The following is a 24,924-nucleotide window of genomic DNA, read 5'->3' on the forward strand; positions in this document are numbered from 1 at the left end:
TTATTTTGCATGCAAGAGATAAATTTTCCAGGCAATTTGTGAAACTTAATGAAACAAATTGTACCTCATATACATGAACACAAAGCTGTTCAGCTTTCTTTATGTAAAACAAAAAGTATTGGTTCATTAATTCATGACTATTTCTTTTTATAAGCAATAGAAATCCTACAATTTATCCCTTCAAATCTATGTTTTATTTCTTATTTCTAAAGCTTGTATTATTATAAACATTAGATTAAACTCTTCTATGTCCTGGGGGAAATAATGCAATAAGTATATTACATGAGCATGGATAATTACCTCTCCCCCACCTAATGTGCTTAGAAGCAAACTGCCATCTTGATGGCAGAGATGGAGAAAGAAAACTCACTGAAACCAAGATTTAATGGGTGGATATGAAAAAGAACCTTTCTTCTTGCTAACTCACGCTTCTGCTATGTAGTAAGTGTTGGTAGTGTAGGAACAACAACAACAAAATACTCTAACATTTTGTGTATAGCTAAGCCTAGATTTCATTCAGGTAGGAGAAAATTGCAGTTTGATGGAAGTTATTTTTACGAGAAAAAAGCTTATATTTTCCTGAAATGAAATGTCTTCATACTAATCTGAGACACGAACAAACAAACTAACTAACAAAAATATAGTGTAAGTGGCAAAGCAGACAGTAAATACTTGGTGGAATAGCCATGAGAGATTTCCAAAGTAGGGGCTAGTACCTCCAACTTTCCTCCAGCATCATATATATTTTGTTGCTAGCTATGATGCAAACAAAAATGTCGAGCATTTGAAATATGAACACCAAAAATTCTTGATAAAATATTTATTATTAAATAAAGGATTCTGGAAAGTTGGCAATTCAAAAATGGTTTTTCATTATTTCTCTGAAAATGGAAATCTTTCTGCTTCTCCTGAATCAAGTTGTGGTTGGATTTTATGGGGGGACAGAGTGTAAATGATGTATTTGACTTTATTTAGTCAAGAAAAATAGATTTGATGTGGTTTTTGTACAATATGGACTGTGTAAATATCTGTATCAAGGAACATGGAGGTCAGACACCAGATATCTGGGTCCTCTTGGTAGAATGACCATATGACCACTTGACTGTGTCTGTTCTTCTTGGCCTTCACAAAGCTATGAAATAAAGGTGAAAAGGTGATTTCGGTGTCTTCAATCTCCAAAGCTGAAGATTTGTGGAATGGCAGAAGAAATTATGATGAAAGTTTGCTATGAAATTCTATAGAACTACTAAAATAAAATCCTGACAGTTGACTTGAAGTTATTTGCAATAGGTATTGATGACTAAGAAGATAAAATGCAGTGAAGTGTGTTTATTAAAATATCAGTTTGGGAAAACAATAACCTCAATTTTCTTACATACATATATCTGTGTTTATTCATATTTATGTACATTTTTGATATTGTACACTTATGAATAAAAGGTTGAAAAATATATTTCAGAATATATTTCAAACCTTAATATTTTTTTTTATGAAGGAGTGTGTGAGTGAATAAGAGTGTGTATAAGAAGAAGAAAGACAGCACATGCGGTGACTCACACCTGTAATCCCAGCACTTTGGGAGGCTGAGGCAGGGAGATCACGAGGTCAGGAGACCAAGACCATCCTGGCTAATTCGGTGAAACCCCGTCTCTACTAAAAATATAAAAAATTAGCCAGGTGTGGTGGCATGTGTCTGTAGTCCCAGCTACTTGGGAGGCTGAGGCAGGACAATCGTTTGAACCTGGGAGGGGTGGAGGTTACAGTGAGCTGAGATCGCACCAGTGCACTCCAGCCTGGGCAACAGAGTGAGACTGCCTCAAAAAAAAAAAAAAAAAAAAAAAAAAGAAAAGAAAAGAAAAAAGAAAAAAAAAGGCAGCATATATCCAGTTAATACAGAAAATTAAAGGAAGGCAATGTAATACAAGTTACAAATTCCTGCACCTATGCAATCCAACTCTTTTGTATGGATGTGAAACTATATTTTTAACATATCCTTCAGGGAATCTTGTGCATAGCAAAGATGTATAAACTGTTCCATATTAAAAAGATTAGGACAGAAAAAAATTATAATTGTGACTTTAAATCTGCTCCCATTTCTAGGGAACGTGTTCAATTATTCTAGAGGATAAATCAATTTCTCCTCACTATAATGTTTCCAAAATGAAGACATCATTTGGTTATCAGATAAATTAATGAATGTACATTTTCGGCTTCTTTTGTTCAATTTTGAGATCCAGAAAAAATGGCACTTGAAAATATATTTGTACACCTCAACATAAACATATGTTATCTAGATTGTGACTAAAATTTTCCTAACAAATTTCTCTGCTGATAGAATGAAATTTAAGAAAACGGTTGATTTACTTATTGAACATTAATTAATTAATTCATATCCTTGTTTCCACTTATTTATTCATTAATATATCTGCTAATTTTACAAGAGCATGTAGATGTTTAACTATAATACATACAAAAAACCCACAAAAATAAGACTATAATTTTAATTATTTAAACAAAAATATTGTAAGCCCAAATGCTGTCTTTGTAAGAATGTAAGAATAGTAATTCTTACAGAATTACTATTATCACCATTTGACTGTCTTCCATAAGCCCTCTGGGAACACAGGGACACAGGAGTAAGGTAAATACTAATTAACAGTTCATTGTATTCAGTACATCAAACTCCTACCTCCACAATCCTTAGAATCTTTTGTGTTCAGCTTTTGAAGCAACCACATTCTTTACTGTCTTAGAAATTCCACATTTCAAAATTGTCTTTTTTTTTCCTGAAATTTCAGAGGAGCAAACTAATTTTACTGTTTCAATGGCAAGTTTCTCTCAATGCAAGAGAGATGGAATGAAGAGAAATTCACTTAATAGTGAGGCTAGAAATTCAAAAAGTTTCTCTTCAACTAATACTCTAATTTGATAGTGCCCACTGGTCATCTGCAATCACCACATGCAGTAAGGGTAAATGTTCTTTAAAGTAATTTTCCTGTCTTGTAACTTCACTGAATTGATTACACAAAGAACAAACATTGTCATTTCTGTTATAATCCTTTCTTTAATATACATTAAATCCTAGTGCCTAACACCTTCTAGAAAATAATAGCATTGTCTTTCTTACATACAACCTGTACATTTAGAAACACAGTTTTGGACCACTAGAGATAAGTGCTGCCTAGCATATTTATCCAACCATTTTAGTTTAACCTCTTTCTTATCATATAGAACTTGATATAATTCTTAAAATAAGAGTAGTACTTTTGCAAAAAAAAAAAATCCCCAAAATTATACAATTGATTTTTGATTCTACATGCTATTTTTGTGACATAACAATAACTTACAGGGTTCTATTTTTTCTACACTCTTAACCAATATTACTATTTGAATTAAGGAAATGTCTATGCCATAGTGATAATTGTCTAAATTTCTAAAGATAAATTTAAATGATGCAGCGACTTGGTAAGGTATTGTTTCATACACAAAATAATCAGCATTTTTTTAAAGAAAATTGGAAATCACCAGCTACTTGCTATGATCACTCACCTTTCTTCCTAAGCGCTTTCTCTGTTTGCTGAACACAATTGGTTAAAAAAAAAAAAACAGAACTCAGTGAACAGATTAGATCTTACCTACACATGTAGTCTTTAGTGTAGTTTTTAATTATCCAAAACTGTTAAAAATCTAAAAGAAAAAAACAACTGAAGTGAAGAAATGTTAATTGTTAAATAACAATAAAGTGATTTGCCATTGGGGCAGTCTCCTTCACTGCACAACAAAACTCTTAAAGTATGTCTAATACATTTTAAAAATTCATTAGCTTTTTGAAGATACTGGATACTTAGCAAATAATTCTACTTGTCTAAAGAATAACTATAATCTGAAAGAGATATAATCACTTTAAAAGGTCTTTAATTATTGTAGAAATGTGTTCATAAACTGCTGGAAGCCACATAAGAAAGCCATTCTATGTCTTAAGCTGTGCTTATGCTGTCATCAAACAAATGATTATAATATATAATTTTCATTAGGTTCCAGAGGCAACAAAAGATGTGTTGAACATGACATTAAAAACTGATTTTTATCTAAAATATTTTGCAAAATGAATATTTAGCTACCTAGTTGGGGAAAGTAAAATATAATAGGCTGTTAAAACTAAATCATTTTATAAATCTCTTGTGAGTTATTCACATGTTTGAAATTTATTTCCTATGTTATCTAGGACATTATAAATGAGAACTTACTTAGTTGCATTGCAATTATTTGGTTAGGTGTCAATCTTCTCTAATAAAGTATGAGCTATGTTGGAGCAAGACATATGTCCTAATTATTTTTTATATGCAAATAAATTCCTATAAAGAAAGGAAAACCCTGGGGAAAAAAACTAATATTTGCTGAATATAATCTGTTTCTCCAGTGTACTGAACCCATAAGATAGTAACTCACTTTATTTTTACAGTACTGCTATGTTACAATGTTGTTATCACCATAATATAGAGACATTATGTAATCTGTCCAGTATTAATGAAAGTGTATACATTGCACAGAACTTTTTAAATTTATATATTTTTACAATTCTGGGTGCCACATTTAAAGTACAAAGCTTACAAATTAAGACAGCATCCAGGGAACAATAAAGAGGATGGTTAGTGGTTTGAGAGTGAGAATACATGGCATATGTTTATCCAGAAAGTAGGAAGATTGGTGCAATTTGCCACGTTAGAAAGTTAAATCACTTGAAGGTCTAGCATGTAGAGGTTGTCTATTTGCCTTCTGATGTCTGTGCAGATTGGACTATATAATCAGTAAGGATTAAAAATCAGAGATATTTCAAAACGTAAAAGTTTTATTCCAACTAGTAGTGTCATCCATCCGTGTGATACCCTGCTACAGGAAGTATTCTAGTTCCCTTCAGCAGAATTATTCAAGCAAAGCCTAAATGGGCATCTGTCAGACACAGAATAAAAGACACATTTCATCAACTGAGAATTGAACTGAATGTCCTATATGGCCCTTTTCAGCCACAACAATTTGTGATTTTATGATAATCTTCCAAATCCAAAATAATTACTATGACCACAACATATTTCAAACTCTTTCAGAAGTTGAAATTGGCACAATTATTTATAGGATTATAAATAATTATGAGTTAGAACAGGGGTCAGCAAACTTTTTCTCCAAAGGACTAATAGTACATGTATTAGGCTTTGCAGCCTGTACAGTTTCTGTCACTAGTGCTCAAAGTGGCATTGGAAAGGAACCATAGAAAATAGGTAAAGGAATGAGCATAAATAGGCATGGCTGTGCTCCAATAAAACTGCACATTTAAACACAGGCAGCCGACTGGCTTTGGCTCCATGGGCCATATTTTGCTGACTCCTGAGTGAGACAGTTGCTGCAGTATGGTGCAAATTCTTCAAAACTACCTCTTAAGAAACCTTAGTTTAATCTTATCTCTACTGTCTAACATCTTGGCTAATCTGGCATGAAATGCTTATTTATATTTATGTAAGAATATTTCGATCAGAGCATCTCTAAATTTTCTCCAGCACTAACATTTTATGATTGTGGACTAGTATTTATTTATTACAACTTGTTTATATAATTCCATCTCTTTCATCTTCTAACACTCTCTTCTATTCACAAATAATGTTTATATATTTCTTAAGCAAATAGATTAACTGCCTCAGATTCAAATAAACAAATAAATTGTAATCCTCGGTAAGAAATAACTCAGAGTTTTGAGACACAAGATGTGTATGATGGGCACAGCCAGCGAAACTGAACATCTGGCGCAGCAATAAAATGTATGCCAGAAACAACAGGCCATGAGAACAGTGACACATCTGGTTAAACCTACTAAGAGCTTAAAGCCAGAGAAATTTAGTCATCTGAAATAGAGCATGAAGATGCACAGCTTTTATCGGTCTCATTTTGTCAATGCTGAGTAAGTTAGACTTCTCTTGCACACTTGCAGTTTCCTATTTGGACCTACAAAATAAGATGGCTGCCCTCCAGGCATTCACTGGCACTATTACTTTTGATGGATTTTTGTTGCCTTGGAGATTTTTGAAAGATATAAGTGTTGAAAGGATTGATTTATACTTGACATAAAGCTAAGGTTTCTAATGTTATTCTGACAGCATTTATGAGCACTATTTTCTTTAATAATGTCTTCATTCATTTGGAAAGAGATCACTATAGTTGCCTGAAATGGTTTCCAGCTCTTGAAACTTGTATTATAATTTTACATTTTTGTTGAGATAGCAAGTAGACTAGCTCTCTCCCCAACTTTTAAATATGTGTCTGACTGAGTTCCACTTATTTTTTTTTATTCTCAGCTTAAATATAGCATTTTCACAATGTCCTTTCTTGGGTTCCATGGTGTAGTCCACCTAATTGTATTTGTGTACAGGCATTTAAGTGTATTTACGTATGTGTTGCATGTTTTGTTTAATAAACATGTCTCTTTCTCTGTGCCTGTATGTATGTGTGTATCTTCCACTACACTGTAAGAAAGGCTACACATTTTTTGTCATTGCATGCACAGATTTAGCATACAACTCTTGGTACTTAGCAGGCTCTTGATCAGTAATTACTTAACATGCAAAGATATGATGAAATAAATTATAATTGAATAAAGACAAAAAATATGAGATGCAATAACTTCATTTTCATATTGTTTAATGATCACTATGGAAATTACTTCTGAAATTATTTCAGTGTTCTGATCAAATCAAGGGTAAACTTGTGTAATAAACAAAACAGATTTTTTAACGCATCATTTTGTGTTCATAAAATTAAGATGTAATTTTGGGAATAAGTATCATTGTATAGTTTAAAATAATTAGAATTTGGAAGTAATAATACTGGTTTTGGGCTCCTGGCTTTCTCATTGTAAATGCTGATGGGAATTCCTTATGAAATCATATTCTTGTACATGCCTGCTCTTTGCACATTCCAGTTATGTGTGCATGTGCCGGTGAATGCAGGTGTTTGTGCATGTGTGTGTGTGTATTTGCATGTGATGAAAGAATTTACTTTGGTGCTTTTTTTTTTTTTGATGGAGTCTCACTTTGTCGCTGAGTCTGGAGTGCAGTCACGCCATCTCGGCTCACTGCAAGCTCACCCTCCCAGGTTCACACCATTCTCCTACCTCATCCTCCCAAATAGCTGGGACTACAGGCGCCAGCCACCACGCCCGGCTAATTTTTTGTATTTTTAGTAGAGACGGGGTTTCACTGTGTTAGCCAGGATGGTCTCGATCTCCTGACCTCGTGATCCACCCGCCTTGGCCTCCCAAAGTGCTGCGATTACAAGTGTGAGCCACGGAGCCCGGCCTGGAGCTTTTGATCCACTTAATTTTCCATCTCTAATTTTATAGTCCAACCCATCATCAGTGTCTGCCTCTTAAATCCTTATAGGCTCACCCTTTGGAAAACAAGAGAAATAACAAGACATAAGAAGAGTCAAGATTTGATCTGACACTGAGTTTCTTTTCCTTGATTTTAGAAACCCCATGTAAATTGTATAATTATTGTGACAATATGACTTTGGGAGAGATAAGAGTTAATTGAGGAAAAAATGGCTGCTATATTGTGAGATAAATGAATGAAAATTTTGGACATAATTCTTCTCAAAGGTTAAGCAAAATCTTACCTACAATAACACTGTTTAGATATAGCACACCTAAACCCAAGAGGAATTTTTAAAAAAGCTATTTGAAGTCTAGGGAGATAATGACTAAGTCTGATTAAGTCCAATGAACATTTCAAATACCAGGTGATCACTGGGTGATGATGGAGGAAAGGTTAACCTAGAACATCTGCCCAGTATGGAGCAGAAAAGGGTAGGAGTGATATATAATGATTATATACTTTCTGTATTTAAAAGCATTTTACTTCTCTAATATCATATTCTGCAGTAATTTCCAAGTGCATTATTTTAAAATTACTCTTTTTAGATTTATATTTTTTTTAAAGTAGCAAATGTAACAAAAAGTGTTCAGTTGATAACTGTAATGGTATTTTAAATATTAAGAATAATGTTAGCAGTAGGATTTTTTCTGTATGTTTTGGAATAATTTTAAAAGCTGATGATATTTGTGCTTTAAAAAAGTTCAGTTAGAATAATAAAGAAAGAGAATAGCACACTATTGTAAAGTACTGATTTTAATTACCCTGTGGTATTCAGGGGGCAACCATGGAACATTTTTTTAAAGAGTCTGTACACTGTAGATCCATCTTTCTTTTCCCCTCCTCATGAATGCAATATCAATTTTCTGCATTAAAAAATCAATAGTCAATGTTTTCCAAATAGTGAAGACGTTCAAACACAATTAATGATAACCTAAAAGTATAATCTGAGAAACAAACAGCAAGAAAGGTCATCTAAGCATATAAAAAAGTTCAGTCATCCCTACTGCTTATAATAGTTCTTGGGAGAAAAGCAAAACGTCCAGTAAAATGCAATTATTTTAACAAAGATATTTAATGTAATATTTTAATAATCTAAAATGTATATTATCATTTAGAGAGAGTTATGGGGAAGATACAACAAGCCACATTTCCACTATTTCTGAAATCTACTAAAAATTACATTAAATACTAGGAAAAAAGCCAAAAAGGGATCATCCAACACATCAAAGTAACTGTTGAAAGTTATAGATAAAGCATTTACACAAATTTCTGTAATATCCTGATTATTTTGTAAATTTTATTCAAATTTAGAAATATCTTAACATCTACCAAATTGCCAGTCATAGGTCAATGACATAACTAATATGAGAGTTTTTTGAGCTATATAAATACTATACACATATACACGCAGCAATGAAATTTATATTGCTACTTTGAGATACAATATGTCCTATATAGAGATACCAGAGTAATATTCCAGATGTGTCATTGTTTTTTAAAACCTGATGTTCATTGCTGTCAAGTTTTTTACTGTGGAGTTTTAAAACTTTTGTTTTTCTCATCCTAAATCACTTCAAGTTGCTGCTTTTATTACTGTTTATATAAGAACATATAAGATAATTGCTATGGCCTATCTCAAATTTTACTCATTCTATGAACATTTATTGAGTTCTTAAACTCAATAAACTAGGTATTGTGCTAGGTTTTGGAGTTAAACTTATAAACAAGACATGTCTTTGACCTTGAGGAGTCTACAGTCTGAGAGGGTGAAAAAGATATATATCTATATATCTATATTTATATATAAATATATAGTCATGAATCTGTATACATAAATGTGCTGTGTGTGTATACACACATATATAACAGAAATACAATAATCAGGCAATATAAATGCATATATAATTTAAGCAAATAGTCTGTACATAAACTTTAATTTCTACCAGAAATTTAAATAAGCTATGCTACTTAATAACTGGCACTATATAGAAAAGGTTATGAATAAATATAAAGTACATTTTCTAACATGATTGTATAACTTTGAAAAGTAAAATCATTGTCAAAACTGAGTGCTTTCCAAAAGGTTAAATAAATTGTACTGCCACTGAATTAAAGCTGTTGAAGGCTCTTAAAGGTCACCTTTCTGTATGCTTTTACTTGTTTACTAGTCATATTATTTATCAGAGAACTGTAAGATATGCTTCACAGATTGGTAAAAACATTAAGGTATATATGGACAAGATAGTATATGTGATTTAATATTAAGATTAATATTCTCGAATTCTAATTTTCACATCAGTAAATGATCAAATAAGGACTGGCATCAACAAAAGTTACATTTATAAAATATATATTTTAAGCTAGGGTTGAATGAAGTTATCTCACCTTACATATACATGAACACACAACCACACACTTAGTCATCTTCTAAAAGAAATGCTCAAAGGCCAAATGGCAAGTTTCTAAAGTTTACCTTTGTGACCTATTGCCTCCCTTTTTCTTTTTTTTTTTTTTTTTTTTTTTTTTTGAAAAGGAATTTCACTCTTGTTGCCCAGGCTGGAGTACAATGATATCATCTCGGCTCAATGCAACTTCCGCCTCCTGGGTTCAAGGGATTCTCCTGCCTCAGCCTCACGAGTGGCTGGGATTACAGGCACCCGCCACCATGGCCAGCTAATTTTTTGTATTTTTAGTGGAGACAGGGTTTCACTATGTTTGTCAGGCTGGTTTCGAACTCCCGACCTCAGGTGATCCACTCACTTCAGCCTCCCAAAGTGCTGGGATTACAGGAGTGGGCCACTGCGCCTGGCCCTATTGCCTCCCTTTTAATCCCACTTATCTCCTGGTAAACTTTTCCACCTTCTAGTTCTAAATTAGTGGTGCATTTTATTAATTGATGTATGCTTTATATTTTATTTTTTAAAGGATTTATAGTAAAGTGACTACTTTTAAAAATTGTGAAGACTTAGAGCAAAGGGTATAAAATGTAATTAGGTTCCATTATGAATTAGTAAGAAATTTGGGGGATTAGGGAGAATTGCATAGCCCTTCATTAATCACACTATGTGTGAAATTTCCTTTCATTTCTCATTATTTAGGAGAATTAGTTATTTTTTTATTACAGCAATAGAATATGTTTCTGGAACATATTGGATGTATAATAAAAATGTGTTTAATGAGTAAATTAGTAAAATTATTAGCTATTATATCTTCAAATGTCACTGGGATGACTCCAAAATTCAAACAAAGGCCAAATCGTTCTTAATTCATTAAGAAAAGCAATAATTTAGACACTTGGCTAAACTTGAAGATTAACATAGAAAAAAAGATCCATGACCTCATGTTGCTCTTAAAATAAATCTATATCAGAATAGATACGTTGGCAGAATGAGTGATTATAATGTCCCAAAATACTTTATCCTGAAAATGCTTTATGAGGAGCATTTAGTTATTTATTTTCAGTAGGGTCATGTAATTTATTTATCAACATTTATTTTAGAATCAGGAGGTACATATGTAGATTTGTTACCTGGGTATATTGTGTGATGCTGAGGTTTGGGGTATGAATAATTTTGTTACTGAGGAACTGAGCATAGTACCCTTTAGTTAGTTGTTCAACACTTCCCCCTCATCCTCCCTCCCCAACTCCGGTAGTCCCCAGTTTCTATCACTGCCATCTTTATGTCCGTGAGTACCCAAAGTTTAGTTCCCACTTATAAGTGAAAACATGCAGTATTTCTGTTCCCGCTTTAATTCTCCCAAGATAATGGTCTTCAGCTGCATCCATGTTGCTGCAAAGGACATGATTTTGTTCTTTTTTAGGGCTGCATATACAGTATTCCCTGGTGCATATGTGCCGCATTTTCTTTATCCAATCCATCATTGATGGGCACCTAGCTTGATTCCATGTCTTTGCTATTGTGAATAGAGTTGTAATGAACACAAGAGTGCATGTGTCTTCTTGATAGAATATTTTGTTTTTTTGGGGGGTATATACCAGGTAATGAGATTGTTGGGTTGAATGGTAATTCTGTTTTAAGTTTTTTACGAAGTCTTCAAAGTGCTGCTTTCCATACTGGCTGACATAGTTTACATTCGTACCAGCAGTGTATAGCATTTCCTTTCTCCGCAGCCTAGTTAGCATCCATTGTTTTTAAAATTTATAATAACAGCCATTCTGACTGGTGTGAGATGGTATCTCATTGTGGTTTTGATTTGCATTTCTCTGATGATTAGTGATGTTGAGTATTTATGTGACAACATTGTATCTTCCTGTCTCTTTGACTTAGGAGAATATGGAGAAACTCACTTATACAAGTGGAGATTCTTCATGACTTTTCGAAACTGTTCCTTGTGTGTGCTCTCAATTCTTCAGTTTCTCCCCTTTCATAAATATATATAACATAATATATGCCATATATATCATGTATATATAATATGTATTATATTATATGTAATATACACACACAAACACTCATGCAAAACACTCAACAGTGACTTACTTGATGGCAGAAAAGTGAGAAGAATGAATGCTATGTAAAGGTGGCAAAACATCTCGCTTTTATTCTTTTAGAATGACCTATGATAAAAACAAATATTCTTTAAAATTAACATAGATTACTTAGGGTTCACAACTTGGATTTCTGAAAAATACCTTCATTATTTGACTCATATTCAGTCTCTAAGTGCTAGAGTTTCTTAAAATAAAACTGTTTGAAATGGTTGGTGTACTTCACTTGAATAAAACTCCTGAGTCAACTTTATTGATACTACTGATTTTTAAAATAATTTCCATTAATTGTGATCATTTTATTTCCTCATTCATGACTGCATTTATTTTCTGACATATGATGCTCACAGGCTTGCTAATCTCAATACCTGTTTTTTTCTTCAAATATATCGCAAACTCATGCTATATGGAATAAACGTTTTTAAAGGGAAAAACCATTGAAGTAGAAGAAAATGTAAAATTATTCTATTTATGGCTAAATACGAGTAAATATATTAAGCTTTTGGATCAATATAAGCCTACATTTTATTCATAATTATATAAAAATCTCACTAATATTCAGTTACAACATGAACATGAAGTAAGGGTAAGCAATGGGATATGGAATTCAAAATGAGACCTATTTTGTTTTTTAATGCAGCCAGAGTCTTCACAATGAACCCTGACAAAATGAGATACTTAAATGCTTAGATGTCATGGTGTTCATGGGTATTATCAAGAAAACTTACAGTAATGGACTATTTAATTACATAAGAAATTCTACCTTTGTATACACAATTCTCAATTGAATTCAACAAACAAGTTGCCTGTTATTCTCATTAAATATTTTAATTTCTTTTAGTGCCTTAGTTTGATTGGGTTTCCTCTTAAGCAGCCTCTGAGACAAGATTTTGCTTAAAGGAAATTTATGAGGCTGCTTTCTAGAAGGAACCAGTAAGGTAATGGGAAAGTGGAAAGGACAAAGAAAACAGTCAAGCAAGTGTGGGAGATCAAACACCACAAAGAGAATGACTTTGTCTCAATTCCACAGGGAATCTCTGAAGGCAATTTGGGTAATATCTGAAATTATTTCAATCAGTTGCAAAGGAAGCAGAGTGTTAACAGCTCCCCACCTCTCAGTCATTGGTTACATTCTACCCATTGAAGAAATATATTCCTGGATACTCCACTTATTCACAAGCACAGACAAAGCATCCTTTAACCGATGGTTGGTAATGAAAACATGCTGAGAGCTAGCACCTAAGCACAAATAGAAAAGAGCTCTGAGGGCATTTGCCTGGAGCACTGACGTGGTTTGAATATAGTTTAAGTTGCGTGAAATATAATTTTAGCATTCAAGGAGCTTAAAGGCTGCTGGGGAAAGTACATAAAACCACAGGTGCTTAGAACAAATATTTCTCCACAACGTTAAATGAAACCTGCCTTGAGATCCAGTCACACCTAGTTAGGAGGAAATTAAATTTCTGCAAGCAGTGTTAAACGCTTCCCACCACAGTGCCTTGTGTCGGTTATTGAGGAACTTACATATTTCTCAATTTATAAGAAATGTTTCCTGATGTTTAGTGTACTGATTTTAATGCTATTAGTGCTATGGTTATTGTCATGGCATGTCAAGCTACATAGTTTACTGTATCCAGTGCAAATAAAAGTGTAGAACTCTTTGTTCAAAATGCAGGAAACTATATTGTAAAAGTACTAAAAATGAAACTTTTTCTTCCCACTATCTTTTTCTTAACTTCTTATGGTGTTTTTTTTTTAAATTTGCTATTTAATGTTCTAAGAAAAGAAAAATTAAAATTTTAAATTTTCATCCTGAATTTTACCGTTTATCTTTATATGTATAGTGAAATGCCAGTTTTAAATGCAAATATGAGAGCATTTAACTCATATGTTGAATCACTGAAATTATACAATTTATATTTCAGAGCCAGTGCATCCATATGTATTTTGTTCTGACCAGAAGAATAAAAACACTGCACAAAACTAACTAAACTGTTTATATTTCACTTCTTGAGACATGTAAATTCTACCTACCATTTCTATGCTCTGTTACTGAAGAATAAAGAATGAGTGAAACTTAAAAAAAAAAAAAAACTAGATCTTTCTTCTTTCCTTCTTCATTTTCAGCTTAAGAGGTTCACTAATACCAAACATTGCATAGTTTTAAAAGCATGTGAGCAGGTTTCCTGGTTGTTTCATAGAACACTACTGACTTCTTTCTATGTTTAAAGAAATTTCTAATTTGAAAAAAAAAATGTGATCTCTAAAAGCTGTCAATACCACATTTGCTGTTGTAAACACAGCAGTTTATCTTAAACTCATTTTGAGCCTTACTTGAACTCCCACATTCATGAGTCCATAGGAAATCTGTGTTCATGGGGCATCACAAATGCTGTATGTGAATGGGGTTGCAAGAAACATGCTCCATAGACTTCATTCACAAAACACAAGGTCAAATATAAAATTATTAAGAATTCAGGATAACATGACAGCTTTCAATCAAGCGTGGTGCCCTTCTGAGGGCTGATCCTCTGAAAGTGTATAGGTAGCTTTGAGGTTTAATTCTAGACTTACATATAAGAGTACTGGCCTTATTTGACAGACCAAACGTGTGTCGGTTTCCTTGTGTGCACATAATAGCTGTTCTCCATGAAGATCCTGCCAAGTCTTTGGTTCTTTCACGAATGTGAAAGTTTATGGACATTTTTATGCAAGATCTGCAAAATCCTATCTACCTTGCAGTCTTAAAAGAAATTCCCCAGACTTCCTCCTCTCAGGATTAATTCTCCTTTTCACACCTAAGCATTGCCATAAATCTGTCACCATTTTTAGTCCACCATACTTCTTAAATCACCTCAGGTTTACCCAATCAAAAATAAAAACTAATTGGAGAACCGGCCTCTGGTTTCTAGGAAATTTTGTCTCTGGCCCTGAAAAGCAGCTGTCCCTAAGGAAAGAGAAACAAAGTACTAGCTAAATTGCTGAGATCAGGACGATGAGACAAACCTATATGAGATAAAGTAGCATAAAATTTATTTTCCCAGTGAATAGTTCAACTGCATAACATCACCAGATAAATAAGGCGTTTGGAGAATGTACCTAACAAGGAAAGATGAAAGAGTGATCCAATGAGTATAATTCAGGAGCATAAAATAGCTATACGATCCAAAAAATGAAAACAATGAAAAGATTTCTCTGTTTAACAGTAATAAATATTCATGAAACATTCTTTAAACACTTCAGAGAAAAGCAATATAGACACAATGCAAAAAATAATATACTGGCTTTAATTTTTATACTGAAGGACAAAGAGTTTAGCTAATCTTACAATGACGATGATGTCATCATTATAAACATATATCATTATATACATGACGATCATTATAAACATGACAAAACATCTCTTTTTAATGTTAGTAACATACAAATAAATGCAATTTATGAATTATTAGTTCCTTTAGTAACCGAATGCAGTTATGACTGCACATTCATTTAAGACATGTTATACAAAACTTTATGGAAATAAAAGTTTTCATTTTAGATGGGCAGACATAAGAAATGTATTAAAATACTTTGATAACAAATAGCCATTATTCTTTTAAATTAAATGTGGGACAGAGAACTATAACCAAAATTTCCTTTCTATTTTTGATAGCTAAATATGGTTACAGTTAAGGTTCTTTGTGATCATCTGTTCAACTTGAGTAGCTATATAATCCAGGTTCTTTTATTAGAAACTATTTTTGAAATAAGGAATTACTGTTTTCACAGAATAACACACTTACACTAGTTTAGGTGTTCATAAGAATTTTTTTCTAGTAAGTTTCCTGAAATGAAATTTGATTCCCTTTTTAAAAAAGTCATTTGTAATCTCACGTTTTTTAATAAACATTGAGTTTATGTTGTTCTTTTTCTACATAAGAGTCCACACATTCTCAAGATAATATTTACTTATGAGAGGAATTTGTCGGGAGAGGCCAAGGGTAAGAATATCTTTGCAAAATTTGTCCAAACAAGTTGAGAAATGAAAGTAAAAAAGCAATTGACCATGGTGTTCAAGAATAAAAATAAAAGCCAGAAAAAGTAAAACACAGTTTTCAATATCTTTTCAAATTATAAAAATACGTAATATTTTATGCTAATCTATAAAATACCTACATGAAAATAATGTCAAAACATAAAGCCGAAATTATCTTATGCAACTTATCAACATATAGAACTTGAAATCTCTATCAGTTTAACATTTATGATTGGAAGGAAATAAAGTAATACTGAACATTCAGAGTCTGTAAGGTATTGTGTCCGGAATTGGTGGGTTCTTGATCTCGCTGACTTCAAGAATGAAGCCGCAAACTCTCGCAGTGAGTGTTACAGTTCTTAAAAGATGGTGTGTCTGGAGTTTGTTCCTTCCGATGTTCGGGCGAGTCCCGAGTTTCTTCCTCCTAGTGGGTTCGTGGTCTCCCTGACTTCAGGAGTGAAGCTGCAGACCTTCGCGGTGAGTGTTACAGTTCATAAAGGTGGCCGTCCGGAGTTGGTCATTCCTCCTGGTGGGTTTGTGGTCTTGCTGACTTCAGGAGTGAAGCTGCAGACCTTCGCGGTGAGTGTTACAGCTCATAAAGGGGCGTGGACCCAAAGAGTGAGCAGCAGCAAGATTTATTGCGAAGAGCTAAAGAAAAAAACCCCCACAACACGGAATGGGACCCCAGCGCGTTGCCGCTGCTGGCGCGGGTGGCCTTTTATTCCCTTATCTGGCCCCACCCACATCCTGCTGATTGGTCCATTTTACAGAGAGCTGATTGGTCCATTTTACAAAGAGCTGATTTGTCCGTTTTACAGAGAGCTGATTGGTCCATTTTACAGAGAGTCGGCTTCACCTCTCAGTATCATGAAAATTATTTTATATTTCATAATATTTTATTAAATCTTCATGGAAACAATATGACAGCCTCTGATATCCTTGTTTTATTAATAATGAAGTTCAGTGTCACAGAGTCTAAGAGCTTTCTCAAGGGCACATGGCAAAGCAGTAGTGGAGCTGAAATTCAAATAGCAGTCTGTATAAGAAACATTCTGTGGAGGCCAAATAAACACTAGCAGCTTTAGCTTTACCATGTTCATATTAATAGGCCATAGTAATTAGGTTTAACTATACAAGTTTCTCTTTCTGATTTCAGAGCCTCCTTTATGGAATTAAAAATAAAATTTACTTTGACCAATTGAAATTTGAAACCAACCATTCAATTATCTAACATTATAACTAGACCTTCTTTAAGCGATGATTTTGACTATATAAGGTGAACATTATATATTTCAAATCAAGTATTGGTTATAGTTGGAATGTACCATGGTATAGTTTTCCTTACACAGGTCACCACAGTGTAATTATTAATGCTACCTTTTTTTTTTCTCTCCAAAATGTACTGGTTTGAATGACAAATTATAAAATACAATAGTTACGTGCAAAGATTAAATTATGTAAAACAAAGAAACCCAAAAAATAAAAAAAGTTGAAAATGCTTACACCAGAGAGTAAAATGTAAAACGTCCAAATGTAATACTGAATATCATGCGCATCAAGCCAATAACATGTCAGAACAATAACATTAATACAACTGCAACTATAATAAAGCTTAATTCTGCTTATTTGACCCAACAACATGAAAGAAACGAAAAAAATGTGACTTTCAGAATAGTTCATTTCCTACTCTTGTAGTGATGCTCCTAAGCTATGAGACAAAATGCAAACCTTAAAAATGCGTCGCTAAACAAAGCAAGAAACTTAGCCTAGCATGTTAACTAGTAGAAGTTAAAATAAGTATCTAATGAATATATGGGGAAAAACACATGTAAAAAACTAATAGCTTACTGGTATAAGAAAACTGTCTTTTTTGCCTTTTTTATTCAATAAAGTTGCTGTCAGTTTGTATTCATTAAAAATTTTCTTGGTAAAGGTTTTCTAAAAGCCACTGATTTTCAAAAATGCCTCTCTAGCATCCTTCACCTGGGTACTTAACTGTCGAGTGTTCAACATAGCAATTATTGCTCCAGTCAAATTTTCCTGCCCTTATGTTTTCTAATATTTCCTCTGTTTCCACTCATATATTAATAGTTTTTATCATACTCACATAAAATTGCCTTTTTTTAATTTGCCATTTTTTACTAAACTATAAGTTCCTTAATGGAAGAAATGGTGCTTAGCATAGAAGAGTCATGGAGCTAATTCATGTTGAATGGACACATGCAAAAACATACACACCCCTTAACTTAATTGATGACAAAGAATGGACATTTATCTTCTAGACCTCATATTTACCACACAGTATTATTCACTGAGAGAATATGTTATAGCCTAAAACATGTCTGAGTACATGTAAAATTTACCAATCCGGACATAATTTGTTAGCGTTTCTATCCTTTTAATTGTGAGAGAGGCAGAAAAATAAAAACTTTATTTAAAGGATTGATTTACTTATTTATACATCCAGGTCAATATATATTTGCCATACATGTTTTAATTGCTAAATTTGTATTCTCTCTAACCAATTAAATGATGAAATACAAATCCTCTAAATGAAGGTAGATATGAGTCAATCTACCACTACTTTAAAAAAAAAAAAAAGTATAAGCAGATTTCCTAGAAAATCTAACTCTTTTTGGAAAACTCTAAATTAATAGGTAAAATAGTACTGATTTTTAAAACTACAATAATGATTTAAGCATATTTTGAATTTCCATGTGACAAGGCTAGCATATCTTAGCCTAAACTTGAATTAATCTAGTAATTCCTAGAGTCAACCATTACATGTTTGTGTATATGCCACTAGATTTGGGTTGTATGTTCCTTAGGGTTACTCATGTTCTTAGATAGTATGGGACTAGAGAGTATCAGCAGATGAATTTTGAGGATATTCAGAATATTTGCAACTCTAGGACATATAAGGAAAATAATATGCACAGTTTCTGAAAACCAGTTGATTATCACAAAAGTGGGTCATAATAGTCTCTACTGAAGTACAGTTTATAAGGTTTATCGCATTAATGTTGGATAATGCAAATGTAGTACTTCTACAAAATACTATTTTTTGAATGTAGAGCCTTTGCTAAATATTTTTAATTTGATTAACCTGTTGTTTTATAATTTAAATTCTAATGAATATTCAAATATTTATAAAAGCTTTGTGAAAATGTTTCCCCACAGGAAAAATATAGATATCAAATTGTTTAGTAACATGCACAAAAATGTTTGGGTAGGATAATATGTTTTATTTACCTTGTTTATAACTACTCTGTAATTTTCTATATCTTCTACTGTGTAACTGCATAAACATCAGTAATAATCTGTGTTTGGTTATCTGCTTTATATGTGGATCCTTCATATTCCTTTAATTTCTGGCAATATTCCACAATCTACACCTCATCTATGGATAAATCTCAAGACATTGAAATTAAACCTTACCCCTCAGCTTTTTTGCATACTAATATGTAACTTTGAGCAAAATGGAAATGCTCTTCTTTCTGTACAGGCAACGTAGCCCTCTTTTAAATGTAAGTTCTAACAGTTACTTTTATTTTTTTCTTTCATTCTGAACAGCAGGATTGGCTATAGCTTCTGAGTCTTTGAATTTTGTCTCAATTATATCTCTAACATTGCTCCAAGTCTGTATCATCAATTACGGTAAAACGTCTTTGAAAATAAGCTCACTGATTGAGCCAAATTCAAAGAGACATTCAGTAACACATTCACATTTGTTTAATAACCTCATCCTCATCTCTAATCCATGAGTTTAATTAAACTCTGTGCTTTTATTTCCAGGCATACATTTTCAATGTTATCTTTGTGAATTCAAACCAAGGCTCTGTCCCAGTCAAATGAAACCTAGAAGAATTATAAGCAAAACAATGAGTCAGTGCAAACCATGGAATACAGATTTCAGAGTCTTGTATTAGATATTATTCCCCAAGAATGAATTGTACAAAGCTTTTTCTCATTTATGCCATTTAATTGAAAGTATTATGGGAAAAAAATGGCAAGAGTTGGGTCTCTGACAAGAATATTGAAATACAAATTTATTAACTGAAGGCCTGTATGTTAAACTTCAGTTAGCAGAAAGCTAAGAAAAATTAAATAGAGAAAAATATTTGATATAAAATTGAACATTGGAACATGTGTAAATTTAGCCCTCTCTGAGTATATCTACATTTTCCCCCACCCATCACATTTGCCATTGTTTCACTGTTAAGTGTATAAAGGCACAATGAAAAGAAACAAAATGTCATAGGCTACTTAACACATTGCTTTCATTTACTACAGAGAATTATAAAGCTGACTAAACAAACACAAAAAACCCAAAAGTTGCCTATACTTTGGTGATTTCATCCTCACGATTCAAGATGGAAAGTTCTCAGGAAGCCTCAGACTTCCCCAGTCAGGAGATTTCTCAATAAACTCCAGTCCCCTTCAGCTTCCAGTAAGATAATTCGTTACTGCTAATCAATTTGCAAACTAATCAATTTGTTCTCATGAGCCTTTTTTTCTTTTTTACTTTTTTGCAATAATGGTAAGAAAACTTACATATACTTTTAAGCGTGGCTTAAATCTATATACACGTCAGACGTCCTGTTTAGTTGTACAGTATTTCTTTGGTTCTTCTCATTTCCTAAACTTCTTTTCTGGTTTTGGTTTATGAATTTTCTTTTCCCTTTTACTAGAATAGCGTTTCCAGTTTTCAGGCAGAACTCGGCCTGAGCACTTCAGAACTGTAGATGTACTAGTGATTTGACACTTATTCTGAAATTTTTTACTTTGTATTTCAAAATCTCACTTCTTTACCTCTTGTCTAACTATCAGCACCAAAAAGCTATTTCTTTCCGAAGCATTTCTTCCGCAATGTTTTCTTTCATTTTTAGTATCTATTACTTTGGAATTAAAGTTGCAATTCTACTTATTTTATCCCCCTACAGTATAGTAATGAACTAACTCTAATCAAATAAATATATAAGTAAATAAGAATAAACCTACTAAGTTTACAAAGAAACCAGTTGCCATAAAGCTCATGCATCAATACTGCATATATTTTAATCAGATTACTTAGATATCTGAAATTTCATAAATATTAATCAGGGTTTAGCACAGGAAATGGAACAAAAGTGGTTTTAAACAGAAAGTGATTTTATTGTTAGAAAAAACTATAGCGGGAGCTAGAGAAACTCACTCTGAGCTAGGCATTCCTGAGTTACTCTCAGCATGTGGCAGAACTCATTCAGTTCCGTAACATGAGATACCAGTGAAATACAGATATCAAACAATATCTTAGTTGAGATATAACACTCAGGAAGCCGAAGTCAGAAAAATGCTGCCATTGTTCCTGCCTACAATGGAGCTGTCATCACGACTGGAACTGACTCTCTCAATAATGGAGAAAGTCAGAAAATAGATACTGGATGTTGACTTCAGGAAAAAAAATTACAAAAACAAAGATCAAAGCAATGTCTCCACAGCTTGGTCTGGTGCATGCAATTGTCTGAACTTGACCCTTATCCACAGCACTATCTTCAAGAGAGTCATAGAAATGTGCAGAGTCAGGTCATTCTATTATAGAAAGGCTCATGAGAACATGTGACATAAGGCCAACTGCTTAATTATCTCATCCTATTTAATATTTAAAAGGAAAATTACTTACATTATTTGGTAGAAGATAAAGAATAATGACTCATTTAAGTAATGTAACAAAAGATTCCTTAAAAACATGAAAGTTCTAAATTCAAAGGTAATGAGAAATACAAAAAAGGGAAACATAGACCTACTCATCACATTAATTTTAACATTATCATTCCATGACAGCTTTATAAAATAGTATTTGCAAAATCAAGGCAGTCAAGGAAACTGCAATAGATTCCTATGTTTGGGGTCAAAGGAGGACTTCATTACTCAGGGAAAAGACATTGCAAGACAGATATTTAAAAGACGGTGGTTTTGTTAATGTTAAGTGTTAGGAGCAGTTCTCTAGATCCTTGAAGGAATCGGAAGAAAAAAATTAAACCTCTTTTTAAAAAAGGGCTTGCTTTTGAAAGAAAACAAAATCCTTTCAACTACCTACTAATTCAATGGCTATCAATAGACAATTAATGTTTGAGATTCACCATGACAGCCACAGTATTTTGCAGATTTTGAATGAGTGGACGGGAATTAAGTAAATGTTTGATTAATAAACGAATACCATTTTAAATGACTGATTAAATCAACAAGAAAAAACCTAAATTACATTTGCTTTACTATATAATGAGTGGGAAAAGTGTGTCATAAGTTTTTGGAAGATTTCTAAAAGAATTGTTATAGTGAAGGCTCCAGTTAGTTACTGGGAGAATTGCAATCATCTAGACAATGCATGTTTGTGAAATAGCTCATTTGCCAATGATGACAGATAAAGAAAGCAGAATTACTATATTAATTTCGGACAAATATTCTCAATTTAATAAAAAACGCTGACAGTTGTTCTGTTTTTTCTGTTTTAGTATCGAGGCTTTACATTTTGTTCACTCTGTTTCTCTTGTAATACTGGAAGTTAAAATAAATATGGTATTAATATGGAACTTATCTGTCACCTTAATAATATATGATTAAATAAATGAAATGGACACTGAACTTGACATTATTTAAAATGTCATCCCTCAGAAGTTAACTTCCAAATAAGTATTTTGTCATTTCTGTAGTCCTGAAATGTAGTATACCCTAAACATTATATGTTACTGTCAAATCCTCTGCTAGAAATAATACATAATTTCAAATTTATTTTAGTTTTTATACAATAAACCTCTATAGAAATTTGCTAAATATAATTAAATATTTTCAAACAACTATTCTCTATTTTCAAACAACTATTCTCTAGCAAGTTCTATTCTCTAGAACTTTTTTATTTTTTATTTTTATTTTTTTAATTTAATTGAGACGTAGTCTTGCTCTGTCTCCCAGACTGGAGTGCAGTGGAGCGATCTCGGCTCACTGCAAGCTCCGCCTCCTGGCTTCATGCCAATCTCCTGCCTCAGCCTCCGGAGTAGCTGGGACTACAGGCGCCCACCACCACGCCCGGCTAATTTTTTGTTTTAGTAGAGACGGGGTTTCACGGTGTTAGCCAGGATGGTCTCGATCTCCTGACATCGTGATCTGCCCGCCTCAGCCTCCCAAAGTGCTGGGATTAAAGGCATGAGCCATCGCGCCCGGCCCCTCTAGAACTTTCAAACTATTCTCTAGAACTATTCTCTAGAAGTCATTACAATTTTTACTTACATGATTTGCAATTTTCAATGTATTGTAAAGAATAGTATACTTAAATTTTATATTGATATACTTGTTTGACATTCATGAAGATTTATTAGGTTGGTGCAAATGTAGTCGCAGTTTTTGTCATTACTTTTAATGGCAAAAACTGTAATTATGTTTGCACCAGCCTAAGACCTTAAGTGAAACCTAGAACGTAGCTTTGGGCTTTACATCTAATTTATACTACAATTCATTAAATATGCCATTCAAGTTGATCACATTCTCTTATTAGTGAGTTGATTTAATACTTACAGATGTGATATATATAATTTCATCTTAATTAAATATATAACATTAATTTATGTATTATGTATTACATATTACACATATAATTTTAATTACCAAAATATATGACATCAGAGAAGGAAATTATAAGGATATTAAGAATATATTAGAGAATAAAAAACAAGAATAAGAAAGAAATAGGTCTACTCTCAGTGTGTGCTCATGGATGTAATAATAAAATACATGACATCCAATTCATAAAAATAAAACTAGATCTCAAGAGTTTATGGCTTTGCAATTCAATGTATTACATAGTGTATTTATTATTTGATATTATTGAAAATCTCAGTATGCATTATGATTTTATTGACATAGATATAACAGATACAATTATTTACTAGATATACTCGTTTAACACATTTTTACTCTTTAACTGATAAGACATTTTTATTGTGACTAGCCTGAGCAACATAGTGAGATCCTGTGTCTCCAAATTTTTTTTAAAAAGACATATTTTTATATACCTCATAGTTATTCATTGTAAAACCAATTTTCTCCTTGTCAAATGTATAATGAGAAATGCCTAATTATAGTCTATCTGTGCTAGTTGTTAAGTATAAAAACTATTTTGAAAATAACTATTGTTAGATAAATAGACTCATTGCCTAACTTATACGTGATCAATATCTATATTAATCCTTCCTAAATATTACTCATTTTCATTTTCTGAAACACCTGTTTCTTATGTTGCTCAGTATTTTTGAAGTTTTCTTCCCCCACTGGAGAGCATCAGTTCTACCAGATGCACTAATAGAAGGATTTGCTGAGCCCTTGCTGCTTAGATAAATGGTCCTCTGTCAGAGCCCATTGTTTTCTTAAGATGTTTCCCATACATTTCCAGTTAATCTCCTTTAGCTTCAATTGGCCAAAGCTTGTTTCTGTGGCTTGCAAGAAAGCTAAATTAACTGATTCCACTGATAGTTAGAAAAACGGATTGAGAACAAGTTCTATAATCTTTATCAATTTTAAATGGTCACTTACTTTTGTAGCTTATTTCACTGATGATGGGTGCAGTTTGAAGTCGTAAAAGTAAATTAAAAAGTGATCGGGTTTTGTACTGACAGTAATATTATCTTTACACCGTTTTCAAAATAAAGATAAATTATTCACATGATGACATTTTACAGCATTTCATGATAATTCTGACATATGATTTTGGTGAATATTGTGTATACAAAAATAGATTTCATAGAAATACAAATAATTAAATTTATTCTTTGGAGGGTTATTGACATTGCTCTAGTATAAGCAAAATTTGGTCATAGGTGTAGTGTTACATTGATCTTTTTTATAAATATGTGAATATTATATTTATTTGTTCTACTTATCCTTTCATTGTGCAGTATTCTACAAAATAAATTATTTCAAGTAGATGTAAAATTCCATTCAAA

The 24,924-nt window shown here is 32.6% G+C and overlaps 1 annotated feature.

Moving 5' to 3' along the window:
* Nucleotides 24,079-24,653: an enhancer, noted in NCBI's record as "OCT4-NANOG hESC enhancer chr4:137027831-137028405 (GRCh37/hg19 assembly coordinates)". NCBI's record gives its function as "activates a minimal SCP1, AML or CMV promoter by ChIP-STARR-seq in naive and primed H9 embryonic stem cells {active_cell/tissue: H9 hESC(naive and primed)}" and the evidence as "EXISTENCE:reporter gene assay evidence [ECO:0000049][PMID:30033119]".

The sequence above is a fragment of the Homo sapiens genome, chromosome 4, assembly GCF_000001405.40.
Source record: "Homo sapiens chromosome 4, GRCh38.p14 Primary Assembly".
In the NCBI taxonomy this organism is placed as follows: Eukaryota; Metazoa; Chordata; class Mammalia; order Primates; family Hominidae; genus Homo; species Homo sapiens.